Source organism: Homo sapiens, chromosome 18 (assembly GCF_000001405.40).
Source record: "Homo sapiens chromosome 18, GRCh38.p14 Primary Assembly".
In the NCBI taxonomy this organism is placed as follows: domain Eukaryota; kingdom Metazoa; phylum Chordata; class Mammalia; order Primates; family Hominidae; genus Homo; species Homo sapiens.
Genome location: NC_000018.10, coordinates 64,915,947 through 64,938,420, shown reverse-complemented (window position 1 = coordinate 64,938,420; position 22,474 = coordinate 64,915,947). Strand labels below are relative to the sequence as shown.

The 22,474-nt window shown below is 33.4% G+C and overlaps 2 long non-coding RNA genes across 7 annotated transcripts in view; one reads left to right on the top strand and one right to left on the bottom strand.

Moving 5' to 3' along the window:
- LOC107985178 (uncharacterized) overlaps positions 1-22,474 on the bottom strand; it is a 125,185-nt gene that overhangs the window by 13,222 nt on the left and 89,489 nt on the right. The gene's annotated exons all lie outside the window — the stretch shown is intronic.
- Positions 1-22,474, top strand: part of LOC101927404 (uncharacterized) — a 121,424-nt gene that overhangs the window by 54,617 nt on the left and 44,333 nt on the right. Inside the window, exon 4 of one of the 6 annotated variants that reach the window (XR_001753479.2) lies at positions 7,669-8,040. The exons of 4 other annotated variants lie outside the window; for them this stretch is intronic. This is a non-coding gene — a long non-coding RNA (uncharacterized LOC101927404). Of the gene's footprint in view, positions 1-2,033; positions 2,983-7,668; positions 8,041-22,474 lie in introns of those variants that run through there. One more of the 6 variants, XR_245477.3, reaches the window with a different exon arrangement.

The following is a 22,474-nucleotide window of genomic DNA, read 5'->3' as shown; positions in this document are numbered from 1 at the left end:
ACTCACATCACACTCTTCTTTGTTTGGTAGTTTTTTTTTTTTCAAAGTGAGAAGAGAACATTATTTGGCTATAATTCAAAATGACAGCTGCATTCTTTTTGATTTTTTTTCTCATAACTTGGTATATCAAAACTGATTTTGTTGCTTGTATACCATCCCCAAAACCATTTATTTTATTTTAACGTGTGTTTATATAAGATTTAAATTAGCTTTTTCCTTTCTCTTTCCTTTGCATCTGTCAAGAGTGGAAGACTTTTTTTTCAACTCTACCATTACGATGACCTTAAAGTCCTAGCTGTGGAATTATATTAGAAAACTAACCTTCAAATAAAATTTGGATAGGAGACAACTGCGTAATAAGCATGCAGACATTTGAGTTTTAGCATAATCTTCCTTTGAAGTGTAATTTATAAAATGTACATATACTTTATCATTACCCATAATTTAATGAAGCATGATGTAGAATATATAAAATATTCTTCTAGGGGAGAAAATTAACATTTTCTAATATGCACACATGTGGAGCATACATATGGAACATTTATCACACACTTTATTTATATTACTAACTGTATACAGTAAAATTACATGATGTTACTTTTATTTTAGAAACTAAATCTCAAGCTGTGTAGTTTGAGTAAAGGCTAACAGTAAAAAGTTTCCATAACTATTCCTCAACTTTAAAAATCAACCTATTAAATATTTTAAAAGAAACTGTGACTTTGAAATATAATTGGATTATGGGCGGTCATTCATCCCAGAGGAATGACATTTTATAGAAAAGATAACTTGAGCACTGATAGTATGGAACCATGCTAATAGAGAAATTATGTTTCACTTTCTAGTTTACTAATCAGTAACTCGTCTCGATTTTGCTCTTGCGAGATTGTGTGTGCATGTGCGTGTGTGTGTGTGTGTGTGTGTGTGTGTGCATATTTGTGTGAGGGAGATCTTCCTTAAGGGAAGACCATAATAAAATCATATACAATGGTATAAAATGAGATATTTTCTTTCTCATGAGCTTCTGACAAATTTCAGATAAAACTTATTTCAAAAAAAATTGTCATGTGAAAGACATAGAACAGCTAAAATTTCTACAAATATAAGGGTCATCAACTAATAAATGAATTAAAATAGATGCAATGATTAGAAAAAAGAAACAATATAAATAAAATTTAACAAAGGAAGCATCCAACAAAAACAAAATCATGAGAGAAATCATGAGAACTAATACCTGGACATGGGGGGTTGGGGGGAGTAGGGAGAGAGAGAGAGAAAGAGACTTATTTACAATTTCCAAAAAGCAGTTGCTGAATTTTTTTTTTAACTCTCATTTTGCTTTATTTGGTGACAAGCTCCATTTGATAAGAACAGATAATTAAGTTGTTTGTTCTTCACTATCACAGTCTATATTTAAAGTCTTTACTTCTGGAATATGGTGAATAACATTGAGGCTGAGACTTGAGCACATTCATATTCAAGAGCAAAGATCAGGTCTGCACTTAATAAAAGTAAAACCCTGCTCTCCTTTGTGTAATAAGCCTATAAAGTAGACTTTTTCTTTAGCTTGGCTAAAAGCGGCTCTATTGTGTGTGTAATTTTGAATAATTATCTCTATGTAAATCAGAAACTGCCTTGTGACCCAACATAGCTTTACTTTGTTAAAATTTCTGTCCTTAGAAAACAATGTTTCCCAAGGAAGAACTTTATCACTATTTACATAAATCTTATGAATCAGAATGAACAAAATTATTACAATTCACACAAAGTGGACTGCAAACCAAACATAGATATGTGATTTTTTAAAGGGGAATTTTCATTAATCTAACATTTTACTAAAATTTAAGAAGTAAAAATGTAAGTGTATCTTCATAGATAAGAAATCAAAATAATAATAAAATTGACAAATGAAAAAAGTGATATTTATTGTTTACTTACTTATATAGGAAATAACAAAATCGATAAATGAAAATAGTGATATCTATTGTTTACTTATTTACATAGAAATAGGTATTGACACAAATATTTTTCAGGAAATATCAATGAAATCATGGAATTTTGAAGAAGATACAACAATTTTATTTCTGCTACAACAGACGTTCTGCTAATGGAACAGAAGTCAGCGAAGGACCTATTAGGTTTTAGGTCACTTATTACTCAAAGTTTATACATTCTACACTAAGTTATTTATTGCTCAAATTTATCTCATATTTATTCCTAGATTGTGTGTATTAATACAAGGCCCAGAAAAGTTGAATAATGTACAGTATATTTCAAGTATTATAATTAAAAACTTAGAGATTTAGCCCAGGTTTATCTGAACCAATATCTTCTGTTTTTTTCACTCAAATATTTTGAGGATGAGCATTATTTAGCAGTGAATAGGTGTGTTCTTAGGCAGAAAATCCTCCAATGCATTCTTCTTAGTGAAAGAAGCCAGACACAAACAGGATGCAAATTGTAAGATTCTATATGAAATATAAATCCATGGAGACATAACTCAGATTGGGGGGTTGTTAGAGTATAGAGAGGAAGGATGGGGAGAAACTTCTAAATGAATAAGTTTTACTAAGCTTTGTGGAAATATTTTGCAACTCGAGAGAGATGGTCATTGCACAATATTGTGAAAATGCTGAATGACACTTAATCGTTCATTTTAAAATGGGTAATTTTATGTTGTGTGAATTTCACCCTAGCAAATTATTTTTAAAATAGAAAATACAACTGTGATGACAAAGAACATTAGACTCCAGTTCTAACATTATGACAGTTAATGCATGGAAATAGATATGACTCTTTTCTTCCCCCACACATTACATTACAAAAGTTGATACCCAACATTAAATCCTTTCGTAATAGAGAAAATATTGCTAGACAATGACAGTGGTTCCAAGGCAGCTTTAAGAACAGAAGTGCCACATGTAACTCACTGTGATTCATATCTGTGTTTTGCTTAGTACCTAACACCATACCTGGCAAAATACCCTATAAAAGTGAAGAGGATTAAATTTTGAAATCCAGGATCAATATAAATAAATAGGTACAAGTTTTCTGAAAGCTACTGCCTGTATGTTTCATAGTTTTGCCTTTATAATCAGTCATGGTTCAACATCTTATTTCTAAGTTTAACTAAAGATATATTCTTCATACTTTAAGGGTAGGAGAAGAAAGTATAAATTGGATTAAAATTAAAATATAGCTTTTTGATGAAAGTTGAATTCTTTGGCACCAGCCATCACGTTATAAGCAACTTTATTGACACACAAGTAATTGCTTATACACAGTGTAAACATACACTATAGTTTATCTCAGTCAGTGGTGGCTTTTTATTTTAAAGAGCTCTATAAACATGAAACCATTTTGTTATATGTAATCAACTACACTTTGCTGCCTGATTAAAAAAAGAGATTTTATCTCTTTCATTGGATGACACTTTAATAAAGAAAAAGGTAATGCTGTTGAATATTAGAAAACACGGGTAATAAACAGCATCTTGCAGTTGCCAAGGCTTTGGTAAAAAGTTAGCAGTCAGGAAAATTTCCAAATGGAAACAAGTGTTATTTGACGATTTTATAAAATTCAGCAGAACACAAAGCAATTAGTCCTGTTTGTGGCTTTTATTGTCCACTGAAGTAAAGTAATTATAGTATTTCTGATCTCATGTCAAACAGCTTTGACTCTTTGAGCTATAATGTGAGTTCTGACATTAGGACTCAAAGTCTGAATCAAACATCAAACATAAAACAGTGAGGGACTGCATCTTTAAAACTTGAAGATCCCTCAGATTTTAACCTGTAACAAAGTTGAACTGTTTTATGAAATTAACTAAATGAAAATAGAATTATTCATTCAAGGTGGAATGGATAATATTTAATGGACATGGGAAAATAAAATGTCCCTTCACCAAATATATCCAGACGTGTTCAGAAATCACTTTCCATCAAAGAGAATTTATTTACACCCAGTATGTTGCCTGGTCCTCACTGTCAGTAATGATTTACAAATTAAATAGTCATGGTGAATATTCAAACAGCCTTCTGCCTCCTGACATCTCTCCCTTCCTTTCTTCATTCTCACCACTCCCTTCCAGTTTTTCTTTGCTTTCAGCATTTGGCTGGCCAATCTGTTTTGAACTTTTGGGGTAGCCTGATGTTTCAGCAGGGTAGTTTTTTAAACAGAACTTTCAAATCTTAGCTATATCCCAACTTTAAAGGTCAATGTAAAAATAATTTAAAGTATGGAGTTTTTAAAAGGGATTTAAAAAAAGTCCCCAATTCTGCTCAGTCATCTCTGCAATAGCGCAAAACTACCTAATAAATAGCAAAACTTGGGAAAGGTCAAAATGGAAATTATTAATAAATGCTAAATAACCCAGAGCCAGTACCGGTAATATATAAAATGATGAAATGCCAATTTAAAACCACCATGTGAAGCAAAAATATCTTTATATTTAATTGAAAATGTCCATAACAGGAAGAAATAAAACAAATTTCCAAGCTAAAGCCTTCCAAGGCTTGATTACTAGATTGCTGTCACGAGGAATATCATTTCTGCTTAGGATGTCATGGTGCATAATGGGGTTTTATCTTTCGCAGATTATTGTACTGACCTCATTAAAATAAATTAACTAATTCATCAGTTGACTTGTAGTTTTTGCAAAAGATAGCTAATAAATAAGAAAAGGAAGAATAATTTATTTTTTAAAACTTGAAAGTATTTGTCTTTAATGACAAACTTGTGGACGTTGGTTGCTCTCCCACTCAAGGTCATTAACCCTATAATACTACATATGCTGGATAGATTCTGAACTTTTTTTTTTTTTTTTTTTTTTTTTGGAGACGGAGTCTCGTTCTGTCACCCAGGTTGGAGTGCAGTGGTGCGATGTCGGCTCACTGCAAGCTCCGCCTCCCAGGTTCACGCCATTCTCCTGACTCAGCCTCCCGAGTAGCTGGGACTGCAGGCGCTCGCCACCAGGCCCGGCTAATTTTTTGTATTTTTAGTAGAAACGGGGTTTCACCGTGGTCTCGATCTCCTGACATCGTGATTCACCCGCCTCCACCTCCCAAAGTGCTGGGATTACAAGCGTGAGCCACTGCGCCCGGCCACGATTTTTCCATAGTCAAGAAAAATCTTAAAATTTAATATTTAATGCAGTTATAGCCTATGAAAGCCTAAGGATGGCTTTCAGAAACTTTAATAATCTTAGAAAATGACCACTTTTTTAAGGCACACATCTGCCCGTTGTGAGCATATTTGTCATTAGCATTTAGTAAAATAGGTACAATCCATTACTGCTTATTTCTAATACTATTTCCGCTTGTGTTTGCATTTCAAAGTAGCCTTATGAGAAAAAAATAGAGCTTTACCATGAGTTATTATTGTTATTTAAAAAGATAGATGGCTCATGATAATATTGTTAGAGTTGCTTTGCCCAAACTATACTTTTATTTTCTGAATTTTCAGACTTCCTTTATTTCTCTATTTCATTCTTCATTCCCCCTGAATTGTTTTTAATTTCTGGGGCAAATCATAGGAAAAATCTCCAAGATATTTAAGGCTCATATAGTTAGAGAATAAATGAACTTTCCTATATTATAAACTATAAATTAGGTAACTGTAAAATCATAAAAAATGCCCTTGGCTTGCAGAAACAATGGTAAGTGACAGACTATGAAAGTGTCTTCATAACTTTTATCTAAATTTTTGGGGGGCTCAGTTTATTATTGTTCTCTTCATGCATGACTTTTCTAAAATGAGATTTGGAAGGAACAGTATTTCAGGAAAACCCTAAGTTTTAATGATGAATGTTTTAAGTAATAAGGATAAGAAGATTTATTGTGATTATATTTAAAACATTTTCCACAGTGGGTGCCCTTGGGAAAATCTGCATTCTGTGTGGTAATTAAAATTCTGCACAAGCTATATTGAATAGAACAATGTAGAAATAATTCTTGGCTGTATAGATTTAGCATCTATTTAGTGGAATGAAAATCTCCTGTGAAAAAGTAGGGTGACATCAATTAACTGCCAATTTTTAATTTATAATAGTGACATAAAGATGAGAAGTAAAGCAAAAGTAAAATTAATCAATGCAATAATGACATCGGACACTACTTTTCTAATGCCTAGGAACTATGAGAATACTGTAAGAATATTTTACATTATAAAAGTAATATATCAACATTGCTACAGTCTGGAAAATACTTTTAAATAAATATAAAATCAGTACCTAGAATAATGCCTGCTAGGCAGTCAATACATATTTTTGTTGTTATTGACCTATATAAATGATCTGAACACAAGAGTATTTTAGACTTAAAAAGTTTACAATATTGAAATCAGAAAATCATATAAAATTTATCAGAAAATAATACAACTATTTATGCGATGGAAAAGACAATGTTATTGAAACAAAAGCAATTTTTAGAAACCAGATGCACTGATGCTACATATAAATGCAGTTGATAGAACTGCTAGTAGACCAAAATACTTTTATGAGTAAACATATAAAGAATGATTGAAAGTTCATTTATCTTAGGAGTTATTTAAGTATGTATAACTGTCCATGAATTTTATTGTGGAACATTTAAAGGAAGATGTTAATAAACCAATTTTGAATGTTGCTATTCCTAGACACCTCATTAAAAATCAGAAATTAGCCTATCTTATTTCATAATATAAGGCAGCAGAGTTGTGCCTCCCCGAAGTAAGAATGTGAAGATAAAGGTATATAGGTACTTTAAAATATCTTCTAAATTATATGTAATGTTAAAAGTAAATAAAAATGGATGAAATAGGAATGCATTTATGCCAATTCATGATTGATGAGAATATATTTGGAGGCTTTGGCAAGAGATAGAAATTGTCAAGACCAGTGACTGAGGAACAGAACTTGTTTATGGAAAAGCTTTCCTTTCTCTTGACCTCATGTGTACACATGAAGTGATGAAGGGAGGAGACAGCCACCTTTACACTTGATCAGCCAGCCAAATCAATCACGAAAATCAGTGGACTGTTTGCCATATTGCTTTCAGTCCAAAGTTAGGAAGGTGTTGAAGAAATGCTGCATTTTGATGGAGGGCAGGTAGTCTTTCAATTAGTATGTGACACCATGCAAGTTTAGTGAGGAAGGTGAGAATTCAGCTTCCTTACAGTCAGGTTTACTTTCTGGAAAAGGCACTATACATAGAATGACACTATATACATGGGAAAAACTAAGAATATACTAAATATGATAAAGCTACCTGAAGTAGAAGGGAATACTGTGAGAAGTCTAATGGGGATATTAATGAAGAAGAATAAGTCCATCTTGAAATACTGAGAAAATTAAAAGCTCCCTGTATTTTTCCTGGTGTATTCCATGAAGAGAATTAAGCTAATACAGACAGAGAAAATTGCAGAAGACAGAGGCAGTATATGAAAAAATCTACATATATTAAAGGTAAAGGAATATTTGAGAAAAATTATTAATACACCATATTTCAAAGAAGAGCTAATTTATTAACTTTTGAACTGAGTCAACGAGGTAACTACATATTTTTTTTCTTTTGCTCTAACTCCTGTAATTTGAGACACAATTATTTGATGGAATCTTTATTCTATTATATATGTATTATATTCCAATTTCTGATATTGACTATAATATGCTGTGATTTTCTCTGTGTATAGGTCTGTACTGGAATAATACTCATCAGTTTGCTTATAAAGGCTATCATTAAAAATAATAATGTAAAAATTAACTGCAATACAGCAAGCTTTTGGAAGAATATAAACATTCCCTCAATGACCCAGAAAACTACACCAGGATCCCTTCAGCATCCCTCTGAGTGCTGAGTTGCAGGAGGGATGGCTGTGGCTCTCTGATTTGAATTGAAACTACAGACATCCATCCTCTCATTCTCCATCCTATGGACATAAGAGGCAGTTGTCCCCATGTTTCTGCTGCTTCTTATCGTCTACTTCAGTGGCAGCCTCGGGCCGTGGTTTCTCTGGTGTGCCAGGTCAATGTGTCCACGGAAGAGCTTGCTCCTGCAAACCCTTCCTGATGATTTCTTTAGACAACTCCCTGTGTTCATTTCTGCCCTGCGTAAGATACCTGGAATAATTTTTATTCTCTAATGAATGATTGAAATAAAAGTCTTTCATGAAATATCTGGATTATGGAATGAATAAAGTAGGAGTAAATTCTATAAAAATGTTTGACATCCTGTAGGTTGTAAGAAAACATTTCAAGTTTAATTTTTATAAATTTCTTTATATTAAATAATGTATACTTGTAAAAAATTTGAAACTATAAAATATAAATGTAGTGAAAATGTCGTTGTTTCCTCAGATCAAAGTAACAAGTAAGCAAGTTAACATTTTGAAATATTTCCCATCATATGTTTTTTCTATTTATATTTTTTAGTACTTTGGATCATTCTGGATTTATAATTTTATAGAATTACTTATAATCACTGCTATAATTATAGATTAATACTCTTTAAAATTTATAACAAACTTAATCACTGGGTGTTTCTCATCTACAAAGGTGTCATAACAAACTTTTTATCTTACTGGATATTAGTTAAGATTATTTTCCCTTAATATATCTTTTATCCTTGGACAAGTAAAGAAAGAATCTATTTGTTTAAAAGTAAATATTTATATGAATTCCATTGAATTTAATATTTTTACATGTACTTAAATTAAGTTTGTAGGGTTTTTTCTGTTTTTGTTTGAGTCATGCAAATAAAATTGTGGCATGGGACATTCGTATTTTAATCAATATGCAACAGTGTACAGTACAAATTGGAGCTGTGCTAATAATAACAAAAGCTAACAATTTTTTCATAATTTATGAGTACCAGGCACCATTCAATGTGGTTTACACATATTTCCCATCTCATATAATGTTCATAGAAACTCTATCCCTATTTCAATTTTAGAATAAGAAATTTTGAGGCAGAGAATGTAATTAATTGCCCCAAGATCACTTAGATTGGAAGCACTTAAACCAAGGCTAGGAGCAAGTTAATCTGACTCTAGATTTTATACTTAAAAACACGAAGTTAAATAAATGCTCACATATTGCTCCTATTATTTTCCCTGCCCAGCATTTCTCTGTAGTCTTAGAAACAGAATATTTGGCCCAGGATCCTGCCCATATGTTAAACATATGGTTCTAGAGGGTACTGTCAACCCGTCATCTTTCTGGAAGCCACACTTAACTAGTTGTGATGAGCAACTGTGACTCACACGGGGCCATTGTAGTGGTAATCTTTGTTAAGTACCAAGGGAAGGGATAATTTCTCTGGTGTTGAAATTGTGAACAGTGCCACTACAAAGATATCAGTAGTCATGCTGCCCATTATGTGGAAGAAAACGAGCCTAAGACCGTGAAGCCAACACAGGGAGGTAGAACCCAGGGCCCCATTTTGTAAACCCTGGCAGCTGTTAATCTGTTCTCCAGAAATATAATCTTGTCATTTCAGAAATGGTACATAAATTAAATCATAAGAATATCCTTATGAAATTGGCTTTTTTCATTCAGCATAATTCCTTTGAAATACACTGTCCCTGCAGTGCTGGGTGACATGCCATTCTGAATGTTTTAATGTTCAGAATGCTCCTGTGGTTGCCTCTTGTGTGAGTTCAAAAGCAAGCGATGTAAAAAAGTTAACACAGATATTTCTAAAATCTCAGAGGAGTTAAACTCTAATTCTTACTGTTAATAATGAAAAATTACACAAAAATTCATCATGAATATTCTATTATAGCATTTTTTCAATATTGAGAGTATGTCAGGGCTAAGACTCACAGAAAATTATTAGTTTTGTTTTATCAATTTTATATGCAATCTACTCAATTTTACAGATAACTTATGGCTACTCTATATGCTTGCACCTTTTTTAAAAATGGGAGAAGTCATCATCAGAGTACAGATGTCACCTCTTCTATTACTAATCAACATATTTCATGTGTATTTTTCCTTATGTTTCAGCAATTGACTATTCAGACAGGAATGTGATACATAGAATCTCTTCTTGAATGTAATAGAGTCATTTCCAACATACTATGTCTTATAGTTAGCTCAAAATTTCGTACCCAAACCTAGTTTTTATAATTTCACCCACTCCAACTGCTTGAAATTGGATGCCTCCATGTTCTCAGACAAAAAATTTTGGTGTCCTCACTGACTGCATTTTTTTCACACTCCTTATCTCTACGATTTTTTTAAACCCTGTTGCAGCCCTCTCAAATAAATACCCAGAATCTGACAATATCTCATGACCTCCACAGTTATGCTAAGTGACTCCAGCTTCCCAACTAACGTAGTTGAACCTTTGATCCTTCAATCCACTCCCCCATCTATTCTCAGCCCAACAGTAGAAGAAGCGTTTATATGTCAGATTAAGTCACGCCTCTGATGGAAAGACTCTGATGGCTCCCTGCATCCTTGAGCATCCTGGAAGGAAACAGGTGGCATCCTCAGCTTAGGTCATTTGAAGAGTGACTGATAAAGGGACTTCTTCCAATGTTGCAGGCAGGGTGCAGTCCGGGCAAACCACAGTGCAGGACCTGGTGGCTAGTAACTGTAGGTCTGTTACCCCCTCTAAACTAACAGTACAAGGGGAGCAGGTAGAAGGTTCAAATCAAACAATAAACATGAAACTATAAAGAGGCCATGATCAATAAAACGCAAACTATGGAACAATGACATTGTTAGCTTATAAATAAGTACCCTTTCAAAATAAAGGTAATCCCAAGTAACAAAGCATATGTTCCTTTTTTCTCTAAATATAAAGATAGATAAACAGAGAGATGTGTGGATAAATAGATAATATGTGAATCTGTTGGTATCTTCTCTAGTCCCATGCTTCGAGTTTTATTGTTTACAAGATGTAACCAATCTTATTTCACCAACCTCAACCTTTTTATCTACCTCTACACTAAGGACCCATTTATATTCTCTTTGGAAGAGACAATAACACACTTATAAAATAGGTGACTAGCATATCTCCATTGAGCAAATGTACGAAATTACATAGATATTTCTTTTTGATTATGGTGACATTTTTATTAACTCAATATTTATATCATGTAAAACATTTACTTAATACTTATTAAATTTTTAATAAAGTAAATCAAAATTTAGAGAGTGCAGAAAAAAAAAGATACACGTTTTCCAGATTTTCCTCCCAGTGTTCCACTGGCATTATTTTATAAATGAATGACAGCTGTAATATTCAATGCTTCATGCTTCAGTTAAAACATCTGGTGAACAGAGAAGATACGCATTTCTACTTGCCAGATAACCTAATATATCATGAAACATGCCTAATACACAACTGAAAAATATCAGCATACTAGTAATAAATAGATTTTGGGAAGCTTGAGCAATTAGCAGAAACTGTAATAATTTTATATATTTATGTAGCTTTTTAAGGAGGAAGGCACACAGAGCACTTGTGAGAGTTGTCGTCATAACACAGCGTGATACTGCTCGAGTTGAACTGGTGCTATCACCTACTTAAGGAATTGGCCTAGAAACAATCTGTTACTTTCATGAAAGTAGGTTAATATTCAAGCTGATATATTTTGATATATTTTTCCTTCATTCCTCAGGCTTCAATTCTAGCCCTGTAAATTTTAAAAATAATTGGCATACATAACTCATTGACATAATTACATAGAAATATCAAGCTGGCTCTTCACTGTGCCCATAGTGTGCTGGTGTTGACTATGGGTTTGCAAATCCATAACACTGTCTGTCCTACTAAAATGTGCAAACTATTTTGAAATATAATTAAATGTAATTTAATTTTTTACCTCTTATGAAGTCCCAGGCTCTGATTTGTGTTGTGACTATTTAATATATGGTACCATGCATGGATAAAATGACTATTACATTTGCCAACTGAAACAACATTAATCTTGCCTCTTTTTTCATTTAAATGATATAACTTTTTGTTCTAAAACAAAATATTATAAAATTTCTGGTTGTTTTTGTGTAAATGAAAACCCAGTTTCTACTTTTGTTGTTTTTTTGTTTTTTGCAACGGAGTCTCTGTCTCCCAGGCTGGAGTGCAGTGACAGGATCTCAGCTCACTGCAACCTCCGTCTCCCAGATTCAAGCAATTCTCCTACCTCAGCCTCCTGAGTAGCTGGGATTACAGGCATGTGCAACCACACTCAGCCAATTTTTATATTTTTAGTAGAGATGGGGTTTCACCATGTTGGCCAAGCTGGTCTTGAACTCCTGACTTCAAATGATCTACCCGCCTCGGCCTTCCAAAGTGCTGGGATTACAGGCATGAGCCACCTTGCCCAGCCATCTTTTTTTGTCCTATCTATAATAATTCCCTCAATGCTGGAGTGCCCTATTTGAGTTATCTGATTTAGTATTTGTCTGAAACTCTGCTGCCCAGAATCTCACAAGGAAAAATTTACATACCAGAATTGTTTTTGGCGTCTCGACTTCTATTCTTCTTCCTCTTTGTCACTAGGTCTTCATCAAATATACAGTTTAATTTTAAAAACAACTTAATTTTTCATTATGTTAAATCTGTATAATTTTCCCAGGAATTTCTGGCTTGACTTATAGTCTATAAATTTTAGGCTATAGGTTCTAGACTGAAAATGTTGATATGGTATCACTTTATCTGTCCTCAGATTTCTAAGCCATATGTCAGTTTATTTGGAATATTCTACATAGCAAATAAGATATGGGATATTTTCTCTTTAAAATTATCTAAATCTGATAATAAACACATATTTTTTTCTTAACTTTTATGTTTGAGGGTGCATGTTCAGGTTTGTTACATAGGTAAACTTGTGTCATGGGGGTTTGTTGTACAGATTATTTCATCACCCAGGTATTAAGCCTAGCATCCATTAGTTATTTTTCCTTTCCCTCCTTCTACCTCCTCTCTTACCCCTCAGCCTCCTAAAGGCCCCAGTGTGTGGTGTTCCCCTCCCTGTGTCCATGTGTTCTCATCATTTAGCTCCAATTTATAAGTGAGAACATGTGGTATTTGGTTTTCTGCTCCTGCATTAGTTTGCTGAGGATGATGACCTCTGGCTCCATCCCTATCCCTGCAAAGATGCGATCTTGTTTCTTTCTATGGCCACATAGTGTCCCATGATGTATATGTACCACATTTTCTTTATCCAGTCTATCATTGATGGGCATTTAGGTTGATTCCATGTCTTTGCTGTTGTGAATAGCACTGCATGTGTCTTTATAATAGAATGATTTACAGTCTTTTGGGTATCTTCCCAGAAATGGGATACTGGGTCAAATCATATTGCTTCTTTTAGGTCTTTGAGGAATTGCCACACTGTCTTCCACAATGGCTGAACTAATTTACACTCCAACCACAGTGTGTAAGTGTTCCTTGCTCTCCACAACCTTGCTAGCATCTGTTATTTTTTGACTTATTAAGAGTCTTATGTTCATCTCATAGTTTATCTGCTATTAAATGATTCCGCATATTAAGTAAAGATATTTGATGTACACTTGTGTGTACTGATGTAGAAAATGATTAATAAATATTTATCAAAAAGTTTTCAAAATGCCTTAAAAACTGTAAGTGTTTTAATCCTATTTTGATTTATTACAACCAACAGTTCTTGACAACATATGAAGCTGAAGCACTGGGTTAGAAATGTGTTAAATAAGAAATCACCCATTAAGGGCTGAAGGACAGTTAGAAAATATTCTAAACATGATAAATATCATTAAGGGAAACACCCAATACAATGGTATGACTTTAAAAGATGGAGAAATCACTTCTGGATGTGGCTGTAATTTCAGTGGATCGGGAAAGAATTCCCCATAGAGATGGATTTTGATCTGTTGCTTAACATGTTGGTGAGCTTTTGAAAAGAAAGTTGCAGGACTAAGAGGGATTGTCTGTCTCCTGGAGGAAAAACAGAGGGGTGCATGAGTTGCAAAACACTGAGAAGAGCAAGCAACCTTAAAAGCAACTAATTCATGCAGGGCGAATTTAAAGTAACTCTAAGAATGCACGGTAAAGAATGCACTCATATTTGATTCCAATGCATAGTAAAGAATGCACCCATATATGGTTCCAAAATACTAATATCAAGGGAAAAATCAAAACTCCTTGTGGATTATCAAAATTTCCCACATAAAATTAAATGCTTTTTTTTTTTTTTTTTTTTTTGAGACAGAGTCTTGCTGTCTCCTAGACTGGAGTTCAGTGACGCAATCTCGGCTCACTGCAAGCTCCGCCTCCTGGGTTCATGCCATTCTCTTGCCTCAGCCTCCTGAGTAGCTGGGACTACAGACGTGAGCCACCATGCCCAGCCAATTAAATGCATTTTTAAGCACTATCAGAGATTGTTTGATATTTCTTGGCATTAAACTCAACCAGTGCTCAATCATTAATTTTAAATTACAGTTTTAAATAAATGACAGTGAATGTATAGAAAAGCCTGCATTATAAAATATCACTTTGGTTTTATACAAAGAAAGTGTTTTCACTTTGGGAGGCTGAGGCGGGCGGATCACGAGGTCAGGAAATCGAGTCCATCCTGGCTAACATGGTGAAACCCCGTCTCTACTAAAAATACAAAAAATTAGCCGGGCGTGCTGGTGGGCGTCTGTAGTCCCAGCTACTCAGGAGGCTGAGGCAGGAGAATGGCGTGAACCCGGGAGGCGGAGGTTGCAGTGAGCTGAGATCGCGCCACAGCAACTCCAGCCTGGGCGACAGAGCGAGACTCTGTCTCAAAAAAAAAAAAAAAAAAGAAAATGTTCTGTATGACTTTAGAGCACTTTACTTATTTTCTTTCACCAAAATAGGAATATTTTGCAATAATTTTAATATTTCTCCTAAAATATAAGTTTATTTGGAACTTATAACTACTGAAAAAATTAAATATGTATTTTAAATAATATGAGCTAGTTAGACATATTATTAAGGATAGGTACAGAATTCTGAAGGTAGAGCTATGCTCATCATATTTTTTTGTTGTTGTTAGCAGAAGGAAAAGATTAAAAGTAGGAACTATACTGAAATGCAATATAGAGACTGAATTTGGGTAGGCAAAGAAATAGTGTACCCTTAAAACACAAAATGTTAAGTAGCCAACTATATTATTTTAAATTGGGTAGGAAATTTTAAGAGGAAATAATTTTTTAAAGGCAAAAGCAAGTTGTCCTGTATCAAAAACACAAACTCTTAAACAAATATATATTCAATTAAAAAGTATACAAATAGGCACATAAATGCCTACAATACACTATTAGAAATGATGAGTTTGATTATTTAGAGGTGGCAATTGTAGAGGCATAGAAGTCAGAAGGATGGAAAAGAAGGAAAGCAATGTATTATTCTGTAGGCACTCCCACATTGCAAGGAGAGCAGTGAGATTTCCCCAATCCAACACCTCCTTGCTCCCGAGCAAGCTCTCAAAAAGGAAGCTCCTGCCCTCTATTGCCCACAAACCACTTCAAATGCAAGAAAAACAAGCAGTCTCTTTTATCAGATGATTGTATATTGAATCAAAATAAAGCAAAGAAAAAAGGACCACAACTTCAGCTCCCAGTGATCAGAAGCACAGTACCCAGAAGGCCGGGATAAATTGTCAGCTATTTGGGTATCTGGTAGTCAAATTTACATAATCCCATGTAATTCTAAGATTAATACTCTTAAGTAGGCAATGTGAGACATATTTCTAAATATAGAAAAGCCAAAAATCAAACCCAGATCTGTTTGATTAAAAAATTGATTATGTCCGTCTCTTTATGTTACATTTCTGTTCAGCAAACAAAAAAAATGTCAAAGTGATTTTTTTCTTACTTTTTATTTAGATATGTTGATATTGGGAAGCCATCACCACCAATAACTTTTAAGTGTCTGTGTGTGTGTGTGTGTGTGTGTGTGTGTGTGTGTATACACCTCATTTTCCTTCTCTAGACTTGGGCTCTGGTATAAAATATCACAAATATTTAGAAACTTTGAAATCAGGACAGATGCCAAGTTTTGTTTTTGTTTTTGTTTCAGTTGTTCCTGAAACTGTTATTCTCTGATTTTTAAAAATATTGTTGAGCTTGAATTGTAGACAGCTTAGAAGTATTTGAATAATATTTTTTAAGTGTGCCAAGTGCTTTTGAGCAGAAAATGATGGCATCTTTTCTCTAAATCAATTGTGGAGAGACTAGAGAAATTTAGCCAAAGATGATTCAGTTGTGTAGAAGGAGACTCACAAAGGCTGTTAGGCACTGAAGTGGGAGAAATCCTTGACTGGAGAAATTTAAAAGTAAAAGATACTATTTGGCCTTTTATGAACGATTTTTAAGGTATGGTCTTAAGAAAAACGGCTTACAAAAATGAACTTCTTAAATATCCTCTTGTGTCTGAAGTTATTTCTTTTTTTACACAATATCTACTATATTATCTAGAAGAGGAAAAGGCACTCACATATGTGGAGTGGGTACTTTTAGACAGAAGCTTTACATTATCACCTCATTAGAATGTTCAAGTCCACATGATGTTTGTTTAAACATATTTTTTTTTCAGATAAAGAAGTGAAAAAGTAATAACTAAACCATTTTTCAAACACATGAGATGGTATTTGATCACTGGTATATCTTTTTTTTCTGAAATAATTTTCTTTCCATAAATCCATTTTTGTTGTGGCTAATTTGCTTGTATTAATTTAATGGCTAAGATGATTAGAAAAGGATGAACATTAAATTCGATTGAGCCCATAATGGAATTTTCAGGTGCTTTTAAAAACAATTAGAGCTTACTCTTTCTCAATAACCTATTCTGCTTATACTTAACTGTTATAAGATCACGATTTCGTTCTGCTATTTTAAAACATCGCTAAAATATAATGTCTAATATGATTAAAAACAGAAGAAGATAAGATAGCCTCATAAGGTAAGAATTGGTGTGTTTATAGGCCTTAATTTCATGTATTACCCCTTTCTTGTCACTCTTTGGAAGTGAAGAAAGAGAATTAGGGGGCTTAGAAAAAGTAATGGCTACCATGTCAGATCCTCAGGACTTATGGCTTCTGAAAGCAAAGTCATTGCTTGCCTACCTCCAAGCATGGTGACACAAAGAACAAAGCAAAAAAGGAAGGGCACAGTTTTAAGTTCCTTGCCTTTGTGATAATGCCAATGAAATGTCACAATTCTACACTAGTTAACTGTACCAAGAATGATGACCTCATTCAGTTCAACAATTATCTTACTCAAATTCAAAGCTAAAACATCTTACTTTTACAATACATGCGAAGTATTATAAGTGAAAAACACTTATGAATTAAAAATGTTGAACATTTTTACACAAAATCAGTCTAAAATATTCTTCTATCCTAAAATATAAATTAATCTTATAATTAGAGTTTTTACCCAAGAAAATCTGTTGCTTTTGTTTTACATGCATCAAACTCATGAAGTTTAGTGTTCTGCTTTGCAAAATATTTTACAAAATGCCTCAGGAATTTCAGTTGTGGCAAATGAAACTTACACAATTTCTTCATTGAAACTCTATTTTATAGATAAACATGCCGTCCTCCCGAGAGTTAAACTGCTTTTTTTTTTAGCTTTCTTATTTATTTCTTTATTTCTTATCTCGATTACTTAAAAATTTTGTACAGTCTTTCTGGAGTATGTGTTTATAAGCTGAATTTATTGTACCATGGCTTAGAATCAACTGAATATTGAAACCTGAACAAACACAAATATAATCTTCTAAGTAACTTGTGAGTTTTAATTCATAGATTTTAAAATCGTGTCAATATTCTGTAATTTTGAACCAAGTGCATACTTAAATAGTATTTTACTGCTTTTAAAATATTTTGAATTTACAACCTATTTTAAAATGTTGAATTACAGTCTGATGCTCACAGAGTGAAAACAAATGCCAACAATGTTTGCCTGGTTATAATCATAGAACATGTCTCCAAAGTAAATCTATATTAACACAATTCAATGTGGTAATTAAGATAGAAAAAAGCAGCACTAAGCTGTGTGTCCTATCAGTTTCCTTGGGGAGAAAAAAAAAACCACTGACGTGACTTGAAATGTGTCCAAGGGGTTTAGTTAGCCTCCAATTAGCTGCAAAGTCCTGCAATTAAAATGCACAACAAATACCAGCCTCCATGTCCCTGAACCCTTTATTATTTAAGTCCTAATTTCAGATGGTTCCTTCATTAGAGCATATATCCCAAAAGCTACCTTTGACTTACAATTACACTGTACAATCAGTGCTGTCAGGTGATAAGTTGGAAGGACAACAGACTCCAGGGCATATCTTGGTGAACCTCAAAGGCCCAGGTCTTAACCAGAGGCAAACAACAGAACAAAGGCAAACATTCTAGGAACAATCTACCATGAAAATAGGCCAAATTGTTGCCCCTGTTTAACCTTGCAGTTTATACCTGTCATGAAATCCATATAGTAAATTCAAGAGGCCATGCAGAAATATGAACACAGCGGATGTGTAAAGAGCGGGAAATTGGAATCTGTCTTTTCTCAGGTTCAGAAAGCATATGCCATGTTTTCATATCATTTTCACCTTCTGCATCATTACTTCCTTTCATAATCATTTGGACTCATAAGAAATGCTTTTTTGCAATTTAAATACTACCTTGACACTTAATATCCAGGTTGGATGACAAAAAAGTCGGCTTACTAACTGTTTAATGAATACTTCTGAGACCATAGTTAGTTTATTTTTGGACAGATATATTTCTATTATAAATAGTCTACTTTTAATTTACTTTTTTGGAAATTATGGCCCATTTTTCTTTATAAAACATGTCTCAAAATGTTATTCAATTCCCAGACAGGACAGGTCAGAAAGTAGTCTAACCCATAATATAACTTTAATGGCCTTCAGAATTAAATTTTACCCATTTGTAACACACTGAATATGTAAGAGTTGTCTCAACTTCCAGTTAACGTCCAAATAATATTCTGTGCCTCTGAGCAAGGATATTTTTAAAAAGAGCCAATTATTTGGTCATAATTACTTCCCTGACAATATCAGCACATAAAAGAGAGTGGGCGAAGGGAAAACTTTTTATATGAAAACAACTTTCAAAATTAATATGATTTTATAAATAAAGGGATCTTTCAAAATTTTGTTAAGGGAAAAATATTACCAAGAGTCAATCATCCCTCAGTTGATCTAAATGAGAGAAAAATTGTATGTGAATGCATTTTTGAAAGTGTGAGTTGACGTGTGTGAGCATGTGTGCATAATCTATGAGCATGTGTATCAGCATGCGTGTGTGCTTGAATTTGTGTGGATGTGAGCATGTGTTTGAGTGTACAAACATGCATAAATCAATATGTGTGTGTGATGTGTGGAAGAGAAATGTGGTATTCATAGGCTGAGACTGGCAAGCAATGCACGTGGATACAAGTGGAATAGTTATCACCTAAGAGAAACTCACAGCAATTCAACACCATATGGAGGAATTGCTGGAAAAAGCTGGTGGAGGAATATGTTAAACTTGATTGTTGAAATAATATTCATCTAAGGCATGTAATTTCCATATGATCTTTTTGCATTGAAGGTAAATCAAAAGCAAGCTCTCAATAACCATATGAAAAGAAATACAATTTCATAAGTAAAAGGATCTTTCAAAATTTTGTTGAGAAAAACACTAGTGAGAGCTGATAATCCCTCAGTTGCTCCAAATTGCGTTAAATTGGATTGCCTTAAAATGGCACCATTAAGAGGATAAAAAGAAGTCACAGAGTGGAAAAAGGTATTTTTAATAACCAACAAAGGGCTTATATCCAGAATATATTAAAAACTTGCATAATTTCATTAAAAATCAGGCCTTCCCTTAGGAAAAAAAGTGCAAAAACTTGAATAGCTGCTTCTCAAAGGAGAATATCAAAAAGACCAATGAATCTGGAAAAGGTCTCAACCTCTTCTGTGGAATGTCATACAAACCCATGGTGTGGTATCACTTTCCTCTCAAAGAATGGCTAAAATAGCCCAGATGAAAGTAGAACCCCACTTGCACCATGTTTTAATGGACGTCATATTGGGGTGCTTTGTGTGGCTCTGCACCTGTCACAGGGCAAAGCATCCGTAGGCTAAAGGCAAATGCCCCCTAAGGATCTGCCATAAACCCACTACCAGACCATGCTTGAGCTACCAGCACCCCACATTCCCTGTCCAGACAGCCTAGAACCTGTTCCCACAAAGTGCTCTGGGCTTTCTCCTGGGTTTTTCATCTGAAGGGAGATGATACCACCTATGTGTGTAGCTCTACATCCAAGGAATGGTTCACACCCAGGAAGTAGTAGACAGAGCCTTAGTGTATAGATCGGCTTTTCTCAAGTGTGTTTCTCTTTGTAAGTTCACCATTTTTTTCACTCATTTAAACCTATCAACTTTATTTTTAAATATTTCTGGTATCTTTCAACTTCTGACTCTATCTGAAATATCCTTTCAGTTATCATTGATTCCTCATTTTCCTGCCTAAAATAATCCAATGCTCAGCACTGCTATGGAGATAAAGAAAAAAGAAATCTGTAACATTACAAGAGCCTACATTTCCTCTGCCTGAAAAGTCAACAATCCCTTCTTGTAAACTCTAGACTTCACTCTGATTCTCAACTACAATACCTTGAAACTCTTCAATCTTTTCATTTTTCTACCTCAAGTCCATCTTTTCCCTCTGCCTAGAACTTCCCCTTTCAAGACACTCACATTTCACCTCGTCGATTCCTATGAATTATTCATAGCTCAATTCATAAACATTGTTCTCAAAAAGCCTATCTATACTCCCCAAATTGTCAGATCTTCTATTATAAAATTCTAATAGCATTCTGCATTACTTTCTTAGCATTTACCTAGCTCTAATAAAATAATTTTATTGGCTGTTCAATATCTGCCTCCCAATTTATATAAAAATTTTTAGAACGAAACTCTTCATGTATGAATGCTCTATATGTAGTTGTTTAATAACAAAATATAAACATTTAGCTATGTAAATTGGGAAAATCTGCCATATTTAGATTATACGAATGAAGGTTGAATAATGTTTAAAGAATACTTTAAAATCTCAATGATCTGTCCAAGAATTATTTTTAAAATGGTGATATTCTACATAATACATTATTTTAAATAACCCTAAGATTATGCTTCTAGGAAGGATAACAGAATAAGCAAAATAAATAAAGATACAAATCTATAAACTTAATTATAATAAGGATTATTAGTTAAACAAAATATACATAGATATAAATTCACAAACCATAAGTTTTCATATTCAAACAATTTTAGAACTTATGTGTACATTCTCATATAACATATTATTTATGATGCATATTAACAGCTATTAATGCTGCATATTAACATCATATTAATAGCTATCACTTTTGAGAATTGAGCAAGTATAAGATAATTCAATTATCCCTAATCTCACAAAAAGTCCACAAAGCAGACATTATTCCTGATTCACTGGTGAGGAAATGAGGAATAAGTAGCTATAAAACTTGCCAAGATTCCTGAGCCAGAGCTTGAGTGTGTCTGTCTGACCTCAAGGCCTGGCCCTTCCCCTTTCCCCTCAACAACAAAAAAATCATTTTTCTTTTGACAGAATTAAGTTTTTCAATCTCTAAGTTCAGTTTTTGGATCAGAGCTTAACTTTTCCAAAGAAAAATTGCTTAATCAAATCTCTTAAATAGGTTAGCATTTAGCATACATCGTGAATAGTGCACTAAGCAGAAGAAAAATAAGGCAACAGCAAACTAAGCAACCTATCGACCAACCCCCAGATTAGTTTGTTAAGCCATTTGAGGGCAATTTCAAACAAATCTTTTCTTTGTAAAGTGGGAACTTCTAATAGGCTACTTTGCATTTACTAAAGGAGAGTACAAACAAAATCAAAATATAAACCAGGAAGGTACTCATGATGCAATACTAATGTACAAGAAAATAAGCAAATAATGCTATGAAATGACTGTAATCTGCTAAGTATAGAAGTATATTATTTTAATTTGAATACACATATTTTCTTTCCCTGATAAGCTAATTGTCAATGATTGAGGCTCAAATCCAAAGTAAAAATCAATTATTGAACACTATGGCTCATTTTAAGCTAGAATCTCAGTGTGCAATTTATTTTAATCCTTGTCCTTTATCTATGGAGAAAGGATACACATGTGCATCATAAAATGCCAGATTGTTTCTTACATTTTCTTAGGAACATAGCCATATTGAAGACACAATTAACCACATGATGTTAATTACTGAAGAAATTATCATTGCTAAAATAAAGTGAGAATTGTCATATATATATATATCTACAGAATTTTGAAATGGCATGTAATGTGTTCATATATATTCTTACAGTGTATGTATATATTTTAGCTATATATAAATTAACTAAATATATGTATAATATATACATACATACCACGTGCACATGTACACACACATACATATAAAGTATGTCAGTGATCTAACTTGGATATATCTAAACT